This window comes from Homo sapiens, chromosome 4, assembly GCF_000001405.40.
Source record: "Homo sapiens chromosome 4, GRCh38.p14 Primary Assembly".
Classification (NCBI taxonomy): Eukaryota; Metazoa; Chordata; class Mammalia; order Primates; family Hominidae; genus Homo; species Homo sapiens.
This window is the reverse complement of record NC_000004.12, coordinates 188,588,163-188,606,713: the sequence shown is the minus strand read 5'-3', so window position 1 is coordinate 188,606,713 and position 18,551 is coordinate 188,588,163. Positions and strand designations below refer to the sequence as shown.

Genomic DNA, 18,551 nt, shown 5'->3' with positions numbered 1-18,551 from the left:
AATCAGATTAATTCCAGCTATGAATCTCTGTAAAGGTTTAGGTAGGATGCAACCGAAGAAAGCATTCATGAACTAAATCTGAACAACTCTATAAAATCATATAAATGAGCATATAAATGATGCTGAGCATATAAATGATGAAAATTAATGATTTCAGGGGAATATACAGCCATGTTTCCCATAACAATGTTTCAGTGATGAACCTCATATGTAATAGAGGTTTCATAAAATTATAATAGATATGTTTAGATACACAAATATTTACACTGTGTTAAATTGCCTGCAGTATTCAGCACAGTAACCTGCTGTCAGTGACATTCTGTACAGGCTCATTGCCTAAGCAGTAGGCTATGCCATACAGCCCAGATGTGTAGTAGGCTATACCATCTAGGTTTGGGTAAGGGTACCCTATGGTGTTCCCACAGAGAAAAAACCTCCTAACAGTGCATAAACTGTACGTACATTGGAGATGTTTTTCTGTATTTAATTTCAGAATCTATATGAATGACATGATTGAAAATTTCCAAATAAACTAGTTTACTAGACAGTCATCGCATCAATATTTTGTATGTTTCAAAACAATTTCAGCTGTTTGCTTAGGATGTTTAATGTAAGTAAAATTTTTCTGGGGAAAAACATTTTTCTGAATAAGAGGCAAACTTCTTATTTATAAAATTAATATTTTTATATTGACTGGGTTGGCTTTTCTTTCTTTGTAAAAAATTTCCGTGAATATTTTTATAAACTTATAAATATCAGATTTTACTGAGATATGTTTTTCTGAACAAGCAAAATGGTATAATTAACATTTGAGCAATGATTTTGATTCCATTCCTCAATTGTGAAGTCAGTGCACAACACATTTGTCTCTAAATTTTGTGAGAATCATCTGGATCGAAAAATGTTGGAAGATTTGTATTTATAATTAACTTGTTATTCAAAAATTTAATTTCATGAAGTGACCTAATAATATCTTTATTTTTATTCAGCTTTTGTTCATAATAATAATACAGTCATTATCATATACAAATCATTGACAGAGATAAAACTTCATTTTTAGTTTTTTGTCACTAGACAGATACGTTTTCATTTCTGAGCTCTCTTGAGTATATTCTAGTACTACCAATCCATAAAAATTTCATAATTTTGCTGATTCAATAGTATACCTCTGGTATAAAAATTAGATGGGATACTTCTCATTTGTATTTTAATATATCATCTCTCGAGTTGTTTGTATCAATTTCTTTTCTTGAATTTCCAAAGCAGTCTCCTGTAACATTTTACTGCTTAAAACCCCCATTTCTTTGTTCTTGACTTCAAGCTTTGTATAACTCAAGTGTGACAACTCTAGATCCCAAAACTTATCTCTGAAAGGATTTATATGTTAGCAATTTTAAATTTTAATTTCTTCATGAACATTTATTGAGCACTTACTATATGCAGTGTACTTTTAACATCTTTCATCTCATTGTACTTCTCAGAAAATGATAGTCACACATCTTCTTAAATGTTTAAATTATTGTTGCTCAAATGACACGTCATAAAGAATTAATGGAAAGTACAATGAGATGAAAAGCATAATGAGTACAAAGAGAAGAGTAATGTTTGATGCTTGCCATTTTGAAATTCGCTAGAGGCAGTCTGTCACTGTGCTCATCATTTTCCCTTCTAAAGTGTCTCTTGAATTTACCCTTTCTTCTCGAGTCTGGCTACTGAGGCTGAAGCTCAGACTTTCACCCTTCATGCCTGGAATGTTACAGCAGCTCTTTAACTGATAAATCTGTCTCTACCCATTCCTTCTGGAATCCATCTTTCACTGCGATAAGCTTTCTAAATCACTCATATTGTCATGCCACCCTTCTGCATACCACACCCTATTTTCTTCTGCATAAAGATCAAACTCTCTCTCCCAGCCTTAATGGTCACTTATAATTTTGTGCCGTTCTACTGGTGAAGCTTCATTTTCTAATTTTTCTCAGTCTACATACACTACCTCTGTCAGATTTGACAACTCACTTCATTCCCAACTGCATTAGTCAAGGTTCTCCAGAGAATCTATCTATCTATCTATCTATCTATCTATCTATCTATCTATCTATCATCTATCTGTCTATCATCTATCATCTGTCTATCATCTATCATCTGTCTATCATCTATCATCTGTCTATCTAATCTATCGGTATGTGTGTATACATATGCACACACTCATTAACATGGGCATTCGTTCACATGCTCATGGAAGCTGAGAAGACCCACCATCTGCCCTCTGTGAGCTGGAGACCCAAGAAAGCCTGTGGTGTAATTCTGCCTGAGTCCAAAAGTAGGAGGGCTGATCATGTAAATCCCAGTCTGAGCCAGAGCCTGGGTGGGGAAGTGGGGGATGTGTTGGTGTACATCCTGGAGTTGGAAGATCCGAGAACCAAGAGCTCTGATCTCCAAAGGCAGAAGATGGAAGTCCCAGCTGAAGGGAAGAGAGAATTCATCCTGTCTCTGCCTTTTTGGTCTATTTGGACCCTTAATGGATGGGATGATGCCTGCCCACATTGGTGAGGGCAAATCTTTACTTGATCTGCTGATTCAAAGGCTATCCTCTTCCAGAATCACCCCAGCAAACTCACCCAGAAACGATGCTTTATCTGCTCTCTGTGTATCCCTTAACCCAGTTAAGTTGACACAGAATTAACCACCATAGCAAGACCCACTGTCTCTCGCCAAGCTCCTGCTTTGTAATTTGCTTCTTTGGAATGCTTCCCCTTCCCTGTAGCTATCCAACCACTAACCCATCCTGTAAAGCCAACACTGAACCTCACTTACTCTAACGGTTCCAGCACATCCCAATGTTCTTTCCTTCTCTGAATTCCAGTAACATTTATCATCAGAATCTCATGGCTTGTGACTCAATTGCTCCTGAAAAAGGCACTGGAATCAAACACAGACACACTGGGTTCACAGTTCAAAGACACACATTGTTCACGGTTGAGCCTTCAGACTGTTTCTGCCTCCCTTGTCCTCTGGTATGGCAGTCACCACAGCCTCCCAGTGACGGATGATGGTTCCTTCTTCTCCCTTACTCTGGAAGCCTGTGGGAGGCACCCTACTGGTGTTAGCTTCCCATGCCCAGTGCCCCCAAATCACTGCTGACACATAGCAGTCTCTTGATACGTGTTTGAAGATTGAATGTCTGCCATGAATTCTGATCTAGGGCTGCCTTATCTGTAAAATAGAATGAAGCCCTGCCCTGCTTAGTTCACAAGATCATTTTGAGTAGGAAGAAAAGGAGGGGAAGTGCTTTGTAGTTGTAAGCACTATAGAAATATGATATACTATATGATATTGTGTATATAATGATGCTTTCCTAACTACTCTCTTTGAGGCTAGAAACTGTCTTATTTTGACACCAATGTGCACACTTGACTACTAATATTCTGTTGGCTGATGTCATACTTTTAGTAAAATTTATGCAAATTTGTTAATTAATTATAATTAATATAATATTAAGATCATTCCTTTCTATACTGTTAGTATATGTAAGTGTCTCCTACACGTCATAGTGCTTAAAACAACAAAATCACTGACATTCCAACTCTGAACAACCTGAGTGTTTCCATGAATTATATTTGTATATGTTATATCCTCTGCACATAAAACTGAAAAAAGATACAATTTAAAACAAAATCATTAAGACAATCACCTCCTAGGATAGAAAACAGAGCCAGGGAACTCTTGTTTGGCATTAGGAGGAATCTCTACTTTGAAAATAGAAAGAGTTAGAAGAACTGGATTTTGATCTCAGTTCTACAGACATACTGGCTAGATGGTGGTGAGCAAATTACTCATGTTCACAGAACTTCACTTTCTTTCCAGGAAAAATATAAATTTCAATATAATTCTTGCTCTCATGTTGATATCACAGATTAATGTAAATAAAAGGAGAAAATATATGTTGATATGTTAATGAATGCAAGTTTTCAAAAAATTTAAGTATCTGAATCTCACACTATATACTAATATATCAACAACACTATTAAATAAAATATTTTTATAATGTGACTATACAAAAATACTGACTACATGAAAAACTTTGGGATGGAATACACATATGTTTAGGGTTATGTTTCTGAGTACTTTTGGTGAAATGAGTTGATTTGAGTAAATGACACATACAAACCATTTTTACAAATCAGAATGCCTTGGACACAAGGATGTTTTCCTTTTTCTTGATTATATTTCTAAGTGGATTTAGCAGATTAGCTAATAGCAATTTATTTCTGCCTTGTGTGAAAAGATAGGTGTTAGGTGTGAAGAAGCCAATGAAAAGTAATTGTCAGCTTTTTTTTTTTAGACAGTTTCACTCTTTGTTGCCCAGGCTGGAGTGCAGTGGCGTGATCTTGGCTCACTGCAACCTCTGCCTCCCGGGTTCAAGCGATTCTCCTGCCTCAGCCTCCCGAGTAGCTGGGATTACAGGCATGCACCACCACGCCTGGCTAATTTTGTATTTTTAATGGAGACGGGGTTTCTCCGTGTTGGTCAGGCTGGTCTCGAACTCCCAATCTCAGGTGATCCACCCGCCTCAGCCTCCCAAAGTGCTGGGATTACAGGCGTGAGCCACCGTGCCCAGCCAGTAATTGTCAACTTTTGAAGGAACAACTTTAACAGAAAGTAATGACTCTAAAGCAAGTCCTGCTATAAAGAATAATAGAGAAAGTGAGTGAAACATGACAAAAACCCCAAAACAACAAAAAAGTATATGTCCACAGTGTAGACATGAAGTGGAGGTGCTGAAATTAGCACATCAAACCTTATCATTAACTTTTGTCAAAACGAAAGACTTTAATTTTGGAGGTGAGGTGGGGTAGGCAATTCCTTCAAGGTGTGGTCCAGCAGGAGCAACATCATGTCTTTAGCATTGCATCCAATGTTGGGAAGGACACGGGTGTTCTGAGTCACTGTAATAAAGGAGGAGTAGTTGATATCACATTTTTCTTAACACAGCTGAGTATTATGCTACTTTTGTTTTTATAAGTTTCTAATGTTAAGTGCCTAATTGAATTACACAATACAGGTTGATAAACATGGATTAAGATAGACTAGATTTAATTCCTCTGGATTGCTGAGAAGGAATCTATCATCATCATCATGGCCAGGCATGGTGGCTCGCATCTGCAATCTCAGCACTTTGGGAGGCTGAGGTGGGTAGATCACGAGGTCAGGAGTTTGAAACTAGCCTGGCCAACATGGTGAAACCCCGTCTCTACTAAAAATACAAAAATTAGCCGGGCATGGTGGCGGGCGCCTGTAATCCCAGCTACTCGGGAGGCTGAGGCAGGAGAACAGCTTGAAACCAGAAGGTAGAGGTTGCAGTGAGCCGAGATTGTGCCACTGCACTCCAGCCTGGGCAAAAGAGCGAAACTCTGTCACAAAAAATAAATAAGTAAATAAACAAATAAAAATAATCATCCTCATGAGGGCCCTTCTGAATCATTAAAAATAGAATGTATTTATCCAGTAGGGTCTGAATTCTATGTATTATTTACTTTGCAAAATTTGGCAACCCATGCCATATTTCACTTTGTGTACCAAAGACATAAAGTAGAAAATAACATAGTGTATATTTGGGAAAAAAGGGAAAAGACCGATCCTGATCTTTGCATTTAGCTGGATTTTCATTCATATCTAGTTTAGACCTTTCCATGGCAAGAAATCTTATTGCCATTGATTATCCTACTGTCTCTTTTTCATTTTCCTCCAATTAATGTGAGCATCCAAGACCCTTCTACCCATTAGTTTTTCAACAACCTACTTGGGCCCATTTTGCTTTGCATTCATTTATATGGTGCTACGATGTGAATGTGCCTCCTCCAAAGTTTATCAGTTGGAAACATAATTGCCATTACGACAGTATTAAGAGGTGAGGCCTTTAGGATGTGATTAGGATGTGCATACCTCGTTTTATTGCATTTTGCTTTATTGAGCTTTTGAGATAATTCATTTTTTAGAAATTGAAAGTGGTGGCACCCCTGCATTAAGTAAATATATCAGTACCGCTTTTCCAACAGCATGTGCTTAATCTGTCTCTGGGTCACATGTTGCTAATTCTTGCAATATTTCAGACTTTTTATTTTATATCTGTTGTGGTGATCTGTGATGAGTGATCTTTGATGTTACTATTGCAATTGTTCTGGGGCACCATGAATTGTGCTCATATAAGACACTGAACTTATTAAGTGTTGTATGTGTACTGACGGCTTCATCAAACAACTATTTAACTATTTCCCCATCTCTGTCCTTCTCCTCAGGCCTTCCTACTACCTAAGACACAACAATATTGAAATTAGACCAATTAATAACCTTACAATGGCCTCTAACTTTTCAAGTGACTAAGTGTTTTTAGTCTAGAAATGATTAAGCTTAGTGAGGAAGGCATGATAAGGGCTGAGATAGGCTGAAAGCTAGGCCTCTTATGTCAAGCAGTTAGCTAAACTGTGACTGTAAACAAAAAGCTTCTGATGGAAATCTTTTCCAATGAGTACACAAATGATAAGAAAGCAAAACAGCCTTATTGCTGATATGGAGAAAGTTTGAGTGGTCGTGAAAGAAAACCAAACCAGCTACAATATTCCCTTAAACCAAATCCTAATTCAGCACAAGGCACTACTCTTTTCAATTCTGCGAAGGCTGAGAGAGGTGAAGAAGCTGAAGAAGAAAGGTTGAAAGCTAGCAGAGGATGGTTCATGCAGTTTAAGGAAAGACACCGTCTCCATAACATAAAAGTGCAAAGTGCAGTAGCAGTGTCGATGGAGAAACTGCAACAAGTTATCCAGAAGGTCTAACTAAGATAATTAATGAAGGTGGCTACACTAAACAACAGATTTTCACTGGAGACAAAGCAGCCTTCTATTGGAAGAAAATGCCATCTAGAACTTTCACAGCAAGAGCAGTCAATGCCTGGTTTCAAAGCTTCAAAGGACAAGTTGACTCGCTTGTTAAGAGCCAATACAACTAATGACTGTAAGTTGAAGCCAGTGCTCGTTTAGCATTCTGAAAACCTTAGGTCCCTTAAAAAGTACATTAAATCTACCCTACCTGTGCTCTAGGAATACAGTAACAAACCCTGCAAGATGGCACATCTATTTATAGCATAGTTTACTGAATATTTTAAGCCCACCATTTAGACCTACTGCTTAAAAAAAAAAGTGCTTCAAAATATTGCTGCTCATCAACAATGTACCTAGTTACCCAAGAGCTCTGATGGAGATGTACAAGGAGATAAATGTGGTTTTCATGCCTGCTAATACAACATCCATTCTGCAGCCATTCTTGATCCATTCTGCAGTGCATGGATCAAGGAGTAGTTTTAAATTTCAAGTCCTATTAAGAAATGCATTTTGTAGGGCGATATCTCCCATAGATAGTGATGGATCATTCCTCTGATGGATCTGGGCAAAGTAAATTGAAAATCTCAGAAGGATTTACCATTCTAGATACAATTAAGAACATTCATGATTCATGGGAGGAAGTCAAAATATCAACATTAACAAGAGTTTGGAAGAAGTTCATTCCAACTGTCATGAATGGTTTTGAAGAGTTTAAGACTTCGGTGGAGAAAAATCACTGCAGATGTAGTGAGAATAGCAAGAGAACTAGAATTAGAACTGGAATCTGAAGATGTGATTGAATTTCTGCAATCTCATAATAACACTTTAATAGATAAAGAACTACTCTTACGGATGAGCAAAGAGAGTGGTTTCTTGAGATGAAATCTGCTCCTGGTGAAGATGCTATAAACATGGTTGAAATGACAACAAGGAAATTAGAAAATTACATAAACTTAGTTGATAAAGCAGTGACAGGGTTTCAGAGGATTGACTCCAATTTTGAAAGACGTTCTTCTGTGAGTAAAATGCTATCAAATAGCATCATAGAATACGGTGCAGTCTTTTGTGAAAGAAGAATCAGTTGATGTGGTAGCTTCATTGTTGTCTTATTTTAAGAACTGCTACAACCACGTTAACCTTCAGCAACCATCATGCTGATCAGTCAGCAGCTGTTAATATCAAGGCAAGATCCTCCACCAGCAAAATGAAAATGACTTGCTGAAGGTTCAAATGACTGTTAACATTTTTTGCCAATAAAATATTTTTAAATTAAAGTATCTATTTTTGTTGTTGTTATTGTTCTTTTTCTTCATTTTGGTCTCCTGTGAGGAGCCAGTTAAAAGCCTACTTTGATAGCCTGAGGAAAGCACGCTGTTGGCTTAGACCATGACGGTACTGATAGACATAAAGAAAAGTGGGTAGATTGGAAGATATTCTGGAGATAAAGCTAACAGGATTTTTTTAAAGTATCTAATTTTTTAATGTAATGATACTGAATACTTAATAGACTACAGTATAGTGTATACATAACTTTTATATGTACTGGGAAACCAAAAATTTTGTGTAATTCACTTTATTGCAATATTCACTTTATTGAGGTAGTGTGGAACCAGACCACAAATATCTCTGAGGTATGCCTGTGTTGACGCTGTTATCTCAGAACTGGGCTATCATGGGAGTTGGTTCCTGAAAATAAGGTGAAGTTCTGCCTCCTCCTGTTCTCTTACTCTCACTCTCTCTCTCTCTCTTGCTCTTCTGCCATGTGTGAGGTAGTAAGAACACCTTAATCAAATGCTAAGCAGATACTAGTGCCATCATCTTGGACTTCTCAGCCCCCAGAAACATAAGCCAAATAAATTTCTTTTCTTTATAAATTATCCAGTTTGTAGTATTCTGTATAGTAGTAGAAAATGGATGAGGACATATGGTTTATACAACTGAGTGAATACAGAAGTAATTCACCCCTCTGTCTTTCAAACTTCTAGAGCCTAGCACACCTGTTAGGGAAGATGGTAGTGTGTGAGAGGAGATTTTATTTTATTTGATTTATTTTGAGATGGAGTCTCTCTCTGTCACCCAGGCTGGAGTGCAGTGGCCTGATCTCAGCTTATTGCAACCTCCGCCTCCCGGGTTCTTGTGCCTCAGCCTCCTGAGTAGCTGGGATTACAGGCACACACCATCACACCTGACTAATTTTTGTATTTTTAGTAGCACAGAGTTTCACCATGTTGGCCAGGCTGGTCTCGAACTCCTGACCTCAAGTGATCCACCTGCCTTGGCCTCCCACAAAGTGCTAGGATTACAGGTGTAAGCCACCGCGCCCGGCCGAAGAAGAGAATTTAATATGCTAAGGTCTGTGCAGTTTACCCAGAATACTTTATGTATAAAGATACAGATTAAAAATATACCTATATAGGGAGATAAATATTTGATACAGAAAGATAGATATAAGAATAGATGTAACTATATATAATAACAGAAAGATGTAACTTTCTGTTACTTTCATTAATATTGAATTGGGATAGGGGATTTCCAACATTTCAGATATTCCCGTGACTGTTGCTAATAAACATAACAGTTGACCTGGCAAAATATCATGTACTTAATTAGCTATAGGAGTGATTACATCAATATTATGTATAATATTATATATATTTATATACATATTATATATGAAACACTAATTGTAAGTTAACATTCTTAACTCATCAGATATCTCAATTCTTAGTCATTCTGAATCAATAAAAGCTTACCCTTTTGCTCACAATGGGCGCTTGATCAGTATTACTGATTTTGAATTTTACGATTTTCTTTTTTAATAGATCTTACTTTCCACCTTTTCTGTGCCTTTATTAGCAACTAACTTGAGCTTTGTTCTCACTGTGAGGTCTACTCCCTTGAACTGGCCTTATAGTTCTGATTTATCAACCTCTGTCTGGCTTCACTTTTCTCCTTAACTTAGATTGTGAGAGCCATATTAAGTTTATTTAATTGTCTTCTCACTGATGCTCTCAAATCTCTTACCTGTTGGACTTTCGATCCCTGTACTCTAATTAACCCCAACTCTGTGATCATTATGGTGTTTCTTCACTGCTAGCAGCCTATTTTAGCACAGCTGGAGAAAAGTGGATAAGAAAACTCATACTAATCCACTCCAGATCCCTACTGTCCAGTCCTATTTCTGTAGCTCTACTACCATGTGTCTCCTGATTCGATATGACTTCATCGTCTAAAAGACTTTCCTCCTTCTCCTTATATCCTAATCTATTTTCTCCTTCTCAGGTTTGAAATCTCCATTTTTTCATTTGACCATGTGTATCAACACCACCCCAGATAATCTGTATAAATCTTCTCTATACAAAGGCATCCCGTATATCCAGCCTCTTATTCTTTTTTACTGTCTCAAAGAAAAGATAAAAACAGACATATTGCCTTCCTATTTTAGTGCTTAACTCACTATCTGGACTTCGATATTAACCCTTTTTTTCTGTTCTTTAAAACTTATTTCATTAATTAATCATTGTCCATATTTCTGCCTTTCTTCTTACATTTGCTCTGCCCACAAACGTGCCTTCATTTCTCTGTCTCCTGACAAAGCCTTTCCTCACGCTGGCAGTCTCCCAAGGTTCAATTTGTCTTGTCTTCTTGCTACTAAACCTTGTGAAACAGTAGTTATGATTCTTTCCCAAAATCCTATCATTCTTTCACTTCTTGCATAGTGACTTTCACTACAAATACTTGATAATAACCAGTCTGGAACCCTTTGCTCAGCCTTCACTTCGATCGACTTCAATATCTGACCAGGGTAAACATCCCTTGTTTCTTGAACCTAACTCACCCTTGATTCTGCATGATAGTTTTAATTTTGACCATTCCACTATTTCTGTAAGAAGAATGGACATTATCATTTATGAAGTTCTTGCATCAGTTTATATATATATATTTTTTTTCTGTTATTTCAGACAGTGTTGTAATTTTTTTTTTAAAGGGCAGGTAAATTTTTCTTTTTTTTCTTTTTTTTTATTATTATACTTTAAGTTTTAGGGTACACGTGCACAATGTGCAGGTTAGTTACATATGTATACATCTGCCATGCTGGTTATATATTTTAAAATGTGCTCTAACAACTATCATCCTCACTTAGTTCCCAATAGCAACCAACATCTTACATTCTCTATTGTTGGTGCTGCCAGTTTGTGAATAGATCTCATTTCTTTTTCATAATCTCAGGACCTCTCTCTCTTTCTTTCCCCCCACCTTTTTTTTTTTTTTTATCTTTTTTTGTGGAGACAGAGTCTTGCTCGGTGGTCCAGGCTGGAGTGCAGTGGCACAATGTCTGCTCACTACAACTTCCACCTCCCGGGTTCAAGCAATTCTCCTGCCTCAGCCTCCCGAGTAGCTGGGACTACAGGCACCCACCACCACGCCTGGCTATCAGGACCTATTTCTTAACCTCCAAACTCATATCTCTACCTACTTGCTCATTACTGTTACTTAAATATTTTGATATGAGCAGCATAACCAAAACAAACCTTATCATTTCTATGGCCCTTATCTCTAAATTAATTTTTTCTCCTTGCTTTGAAAATATTTATTCACAGACAGTACTTCTTAAAGGAATTGCAACTTGAAACCTAAAAGCAATTCTTGATGCCACTGTCTATTTTTTCTCCTTTAAAACATCTAGTTTTATTCTGTTTCTCTTTTTCGATGACTTCCTTTTAACCTTTCTCCTTTTCCACTTAACTGCCACTTTCTTAGATTTAGTTCTCTTTTTTCTTTACTTGGATGGTGACCAAACTTTTTTTTTTTTTTTTTTTTTTTTGGAGACACGGTCTCTGTTGCCCAGGCTGGAGTGCAATGGCGCAATCTCAGTTCACTGCAACCTCCACCTCCCGAGTTTAACTGATTCTCCTGCCTCATCCTTCGAAGTAGCTGGGATTACAGGTGCCCATCACCACACTCAGCTACTATCTGTATTTTTAGTAGAGATGCGGTTTCACTGTGTTGGCCAGGCTGGTCTCAAACTCCTGAACTCGTGATCTGCCCACCTCAGCCTCCCAAAGTGCTGGAATTACAAGCGTGAGCCACCAGGCCTGGCTGGTGACCAAACTTTCTATACCTTATGTTGTGTGGCTTTATCAAGAATCATCACAAATGTTCTATTCCTCCATCCCACTATATTTTTCAATTCATGCATAATTTTATCATTTTATTTGCTTCAATAAATCTTTTCCAAAAAGAGAAATATTTGTAGGACTACAAGACTTCTGAAATTTCTTTTATTCAGTTATATTGTTTATGTGTCCTAAGGCCCCCATGCTATTTGTTTCTGAAATATGGAGTGCCTTCTGGGTGAGTTTTCATGAAAAATTCAGGAAGCTACATTTGTGTTTTCTTCTTTGTAATGTAACTATCTTTTAGGTATTTTCCTTTTCTTCATGAGAAACTCTGTAGTGTAACTCTTAATTTACATAAAAATAATAAATATATGCAGGAAAGGATGAAAAACATTATTATTTTCCTACTGGGGAAAAAAATACAAATGTGAATAATTAAAGATGAATCCCTGTTAGTAACAGAGCAATAGCCCTTCGTACTTGGCTTGTGGATGAAGGGAGTCCACATGCCCTCACCACGTGATGTCCCCCGAATGAGCACTAATTGCCTTTTGTCTGGCGCTAACAGGCGTCTTCTCTTAAAACCATTTTCCTGAGGCTCAAGCCCAGGGATGAGCGTTGATCTGTCTCTTTTGTCTTGTTTCTTATTTAAAGGCGTGTACTGGCGAAAAGACGGAGCACCAGAGGGTTTTGTTTTTAGCTGCACGGCTCCTGGGATCTGTGACAGAAACTGACCTTCTAGTACACCAGACCCTTAAAGAAATATCTGCCTTCCTTCCATGTCAAGGATTGACTTAAAAGGTTTTCTGGGCTAATAGATTAAATTACTCTTTAAGGCCAAAGGGCTGAGGTATGGAATTATACCTGATGTAAGAAAGAAAGAAATTAATAAGAGGATATGAAGGTAATAAATCTTCCTTTATGCGTAACACATGAAGTGTGATTTTATTGCTGAGACTGAAATATTCACACCAGGTTTTTTGGAGGTGTGCACCTGACTCAGAGCTCTCCACATAATGCTGAAAACATGACAGCTAATGTTCATTGGCCTAATACTGGTGAAATATTCCTGACGGTGCCACCTCTTCTGATACACTATTTTTTATTAGGTACTTAAAAACTTCAGTGGGCATAAGAAATATAATTGAGTGTACTCAAGAGTTGTAAAGGCTATTCTTTAAAGTAAGTGCACAACATCATAAAATCTGCAACATCATAAAATTGCCTTCATATAGAGCTTGGCTTGATAGAGAAAAAAATAAAGAAACACAAGTCTGTGAGATGGTCAAGAGCAAAACTTGTTGATTTTTGCTTGTTGATTCCAGCCCCTTGCCTAGAGTATAGTAGATATGCCAATGAAACTAGAAAAATTATTTCACAATCATCTTTCAAATATCAAAACTTAAGATATACTAGATATTACTGCATTGTCTCCTAATTCGCATGTCAAAGCTCAGCTTAAACCTTCATTAAAAGACCCTGATTTGTGTTCTTCTGATTAAGTTGCATAAGGAGCTCTTTGCATTTCTACTTTTCCAGTAAATTGCAAGAGGTATGACTTACTAAAAGCATAAAGAACCAGTTTATTTTATAGTTGAGCATGCTGACACCACAATTTCTGAAATGGAAACACTCAACTCGGGCCCAATTAGGCTCAGAGAGGCTCTAAGAACAGAAAAGATGATATTGTCTCTTATCCAAATTTTGAATCTAGATTAATAACTCTGTAGAACAAATGTAATGCCGTCAGTTCCGTATTACTGATCTTACTCATGATGGGTGCCTTAGTGACATCAAGCATCAAATTATTCCCTGTATAGGGACGAGAGTGACTTCATTTTAGATGCTAATCCACCACGTGCCTCCTGATGAATCTCGAGCCCCGGAATGCCTCCAAGATATTTAGTTGATGTAAACCCTTTTTGTAGAAGGACCTATTTACTGTAAGTTTCGCCTTTCCTCCAAAACCAGCCTTGGTGTTGCTGTGTCCCTCATAGACTGTGGTGCCCACAGCATTCTCTCAGCCACCTACACATTCTTCCAGAACACACATACTTTTCCGCATGATGTAAGTTCTGGGTCTTGGGGATTTTAGTGCAGAGATCTAGCTGTCTTGTGGTTGCCCAAGACCACACTTCTGTCTTTAACTTCTCTAACAAATAAATAGAATAAATCCTTTATGGGCAAACTGGATTTGTCCGCCTCTTTCTTCGGTTCCTTGCATTTGAGGGGACCACTTTGCATTTATGGCCCTTTCATGGAACACCTTATATCTGCATCTACATCATTTATATCTGCACCTAGACAGAGGTAGCTATCTCTCTCCATCTCTATCATCTCTATCTCTATTGCTCTGATGGAGCCCTCAGCATGTACTTCGTCAAATAATCCAGCTCTGAAAAGCCGCAAGCACAAGAGAAAATAGCTGATTACAGTTTGGATGTGTACATTGTGTTCTTCCCAGAAAAGCATTTTGGTAGTACCTAGAAGAAAAAGGAGTAAGTCTTTTTTCTTTTAGTTAAAAAGGCAAATAATTTAATAATCACAGAAACAAAAAATTAAATATGAAAGCAGTCTTTTAGGGTTTCTAAACAATAAATATTGATTATGAAATTCTAAATCATGTATTGGCAGAAAATCTTGCAAGAGCTTTGAAGAAAAATATATTCCTACTCACTTGAGAAATTATAATGATTCAGAAGCTATTAACTTTTGTTTGTTTGTTTGTTTGTTTTTGTTTTTGACATGGAGTCTCCCTCTGTCACCCAGGCTGGATTGCAGTGGCATGATCTCAGCTCACTGCAACTTCCACCTCCTGGGTTCACGCCATTCTCCTGCCTCAGCCTCCCAAGTAGATGGGACTACAGGTACCTGCCACCAAACCCAGCTAATTTTTTATATTTTTAGTAGAGACGGGGTTTCACCATGTTGGCCAGGATGGTCTCGATCTCCTGACCTTGTGATCCACCCACCTTGGCCTCCCAAAGTGCTGGGATTACAGGCATGAGCCACCGCACCCAGCCTTAGAAGCTATTAACATTTTTAAATCTCTATATTCATTTACAATTTGAAGATATTATATACTATAAAAATATTTGACATAAAATAGGGGTACATTTTCTTTCTCTTACTCATTATAAAATAAACTCACCCATGAAACCAATTATAATAATCATTTAAAAATCTGTGTTAAATGAAATCTATAGTAAATAACAGCATAGATGATAATTAAGTGTAAGTTCAAACTATTCTGAGTAAGAATTGGTTTTTACTTCTTTTCTGATGAAATAAGGTCATCTAAAGGTAAGGTGAAAGTTAGTTTGAAAAGTACATTAACATTCATTCTCATAGGTAAGAATTTCATATTCTAGGGAAAAATTGACTTATACAATCTAAGAGCCCTTCAGATATAATGTCTTCATGTTTTAATTTATGAATTTCGTTTTCTTTATTATTTTCTAATTTCTCTCCTCATGTTAGTTCTGTCTTTAAAGCAGTGGACACGAAGGTAAGGCAAGTTAGAAATCACATTATTATCCTACCATTTAAAAAACAAAAGAATATTAAATTATCAATACTTTCATATTATGATAATTTTTGTTTATTTCTTGAGACAAGTTCTCACTCTGTTGCCCAGGCTGGAGTGCAGTAGTGTGACCACAGCTCACTGCAACCTCGATCTCCTGGGCTCAAGTGATCCTCCCACCTCAGCCTTCCAAGTAGCTGGGCCTACAGGTGTGCACCACCATGCCAGGCTAATTTATAAATTTTTGTAGAGATGGGTTTCACTATGTTGTCTAGGCTGGTCTCATACACCTGGGCTCAAGAAATCCTCTAACCTCAGCCTCCCAGCATGCCGGAATTATAGACATGAACCACCACACTCAGCCATAAAAAAATTTTTAATGCAATTTTCTGAAGAAAGTATTTAATTACAATTACAAAGTACTATAAACTATATGTCTACATTTATTCCAGTTGTGCTGTTTTTTAAAATTGCAGATTTTTATATATATATACATACATATATACAAATATGTGTATATGTGTGTATATCTTTAATAAGTGGATGAAAAATGCATTTATTTAATAAATATATATACACACATTTATATGTGTGTGTATATGTATATATTTACACATTTATATATGTATATGTGTATATGTATATATGTTTGTAGACATATACATGTATGCAAATGTGTGTGTGTGTGTGTGTGTATATATATATATTTATTAAATAAATGCATGAAAAATGTTTAAAGCTCTTTAGGCTAGATTTGACATACCACTTGGATTGGCTGGGCACGGTGGCTCACACCTGTAATCTCAGCACTTTGGAGGCTGAGGTGGGTGAATCATGAGGTCAGGAGATCGAGACCATCCTGGCTAACATGGTGAAACCCTGCCTCTACTAAAAATACAAAAATTAGCCAGGCATGGTGGCAGGCACCTGTAGTCCCAGCTACTCAGGAGGCTGAAGCAGGAGAATGGCTTGAACCCGGGAGGTGGAGGTTGCCGTGAGCCGAGTTCGAGCCACTGCACTCCAGCCTGGCAACAGTGTGAGACGTCATCTCAAAAAATTAAAAAAAATAAAATAAAATACCACCTGGATTAAGGTCTGTTGTAGAATATCCATAAACTCTCCATCAAGCTACCTTCTTTTCTGTGAGACTATCATAGGATGAGATCTAAAGCCTATCTTCAGGAGAGTTTCATTCTCGGTAAATTTCAGAAAGAAGCTCTGAAATCTAGACAATATTCTCATGGATCAGAATACTCTAGATGTTACTAAATATGTACGGAAGAATCAGTAATTCCCACGTGACAACCTAAGGACCAGTTACTTCTAAATTACCTGAGAAGCTTTGAAAACATTAGCTTACGGGTCACAGCCCTGGACCTTCTAAAAGTGATCACTCAAAGATCTGTACTTTTTTTTTCTTTTATTTTTTCCTTTGAGATGGAGTCTTGCTCTGCTGCCAGGCTGGAGTGCAGTGGTGCGATCTCCACTCACTGCAACCTCCACCTCCCGGGTTCAAGCAATTCTCCTGCCTCAGCCTCCCGAGTAGCTGGAACTACAGGCGCCCGTCACCACGCCCAGCTAATTTTTTGTATTTTTAGTAGAGACGGGGTTTCACCGTGTTAGCCAGGATGGTCTTGATCTCCTGACCTCATGATCCGCCCACCTCAGCCTCCCAAAGTGCTGGGATTACAGGCGTGAGCCACCGCGCCCGGCCAGATCTGTACTTTTAAAGGCTTTACAGGATGATTCCTGTGCACTGCTAGGGTTTGAAATCCGTTTCACATTTTGTGGTCCTACAAGAATCAGTTGCAATAAATGTAGGGATGTTAAAAATAAATTTTAAAATAACTGCTATTCACCGTTCTCTCATTCAGTCATCCTCACTTGCTTTTGGCAATCACGTCTCAGGTGGCCTTCTCAAAAGTATCTAAGTATCTGCCATTATCATCCCTCATTGTACAACAGAAGCTGAGGCCTGGACTCCAGATGAGCTCCAGGAAAATGCACCTAGGAAGTGTACATGAAGGAGTCTGATTCTGTAAAAATGCATCTAGGAGGTGTACACGAAGGAACGAAGGAGTCTGATTCCATAAAGCAATTCCCGAGAGCCTTCACACTGTGCAGTTTCCAGCAAGGAGACATCTCACCCTCCTGTGTTCCATCTGTACAATTCAGTCATGGATTGAGAGTTGCTCCTGAAGGAGATAAGTTAATAACAAGTGCATTTCATTAGTCAGAGTCTGGAGCTGACCAGCCTGGTTGACAGAATTCGAGCTCTGTCAGACACGAGAGTTCTGGGGAAGAGAGCTTGGGGTAAATTAGAATGTTTAGAGGGAGGGAGGCGGAAACAGAAAAAAAAAAAAGAAAAGAAACAGGAGCCTATAGTGAGGTGAGGCCAGACCAGGTTCAGGACATGCCACCCCAAAACATGGTGCCTGGGCGTTTGAGAAAACAACAGAAGCAGGAAGGCCTTGCTCACCTTCCCCTCGCCCTTTCTCCCTGCAGCAGCCATGAAACCTGGGAAGGTGACTCTCTGACCTTCTCCCTCCCCTCTCTCCTGAAGAGCCTCCTGGGAGAGCATCCTGGCTTGTCCTACATCTGGGAGGAAAGCACGTGACATGAGGACACCAAGAGGAATGTGAACAGCCTCCCCTGTCTATTTCCATTAGACCATTCCCTTTGTCCTCCAGTCCAATTTTGCACAACCGTCCAAAAAATACAGACTCCCTGTTTATTTGCATCATTTCTGAAGGCTCGTGTGTCATGTAAAATTTATATTAAATAAGTTTCTATGTTTTTCTGTTGTTAGTCTGTCTTCTGTTGTTGGGGTCTCAGCCATCGATCTTGTGCTGGGCGAGGGAAATCTGTTACTTATTCTTCCCTGTAGACCGAAGGTCCGTATTGGCTCTGATGGAATTTTGCTCTTCATCATTTCTATAAGAATCTATTTTCTCTATAATTACAAATAAAGAGGCTTACAATACAATATTAATTTGAAAATTCAACTGAACAATAATTTGAATAGATAGG

The 18,551-nt window shown here is 38.0% G+C and overlaps 1 long non-coding RNA gene across 1 annotated transcript in view; it reads right to left on the bottom strand.

Moving 5' to 3' along the window:
• Positions 1 to 4,805: 4,805 nt before the first annotated feature.
• LINC01060 (long intergenic non-protein coding RNA 1060) overlaps positions 4,806 to 18,551 on the bottom strand; it is a 146,331-nt gene continuing 132,585 nt past the window's right edge. The window contains exon 5 of the long non-coding RNA NR_033869.1: positions 4,806 to 4,946. This is a non-coding gene — a long non-coding RNA (long intergenic non-protein coding RNA 1060). The remainder of the gene's footprint in view (positions 4,947 to 18,551) is intronic.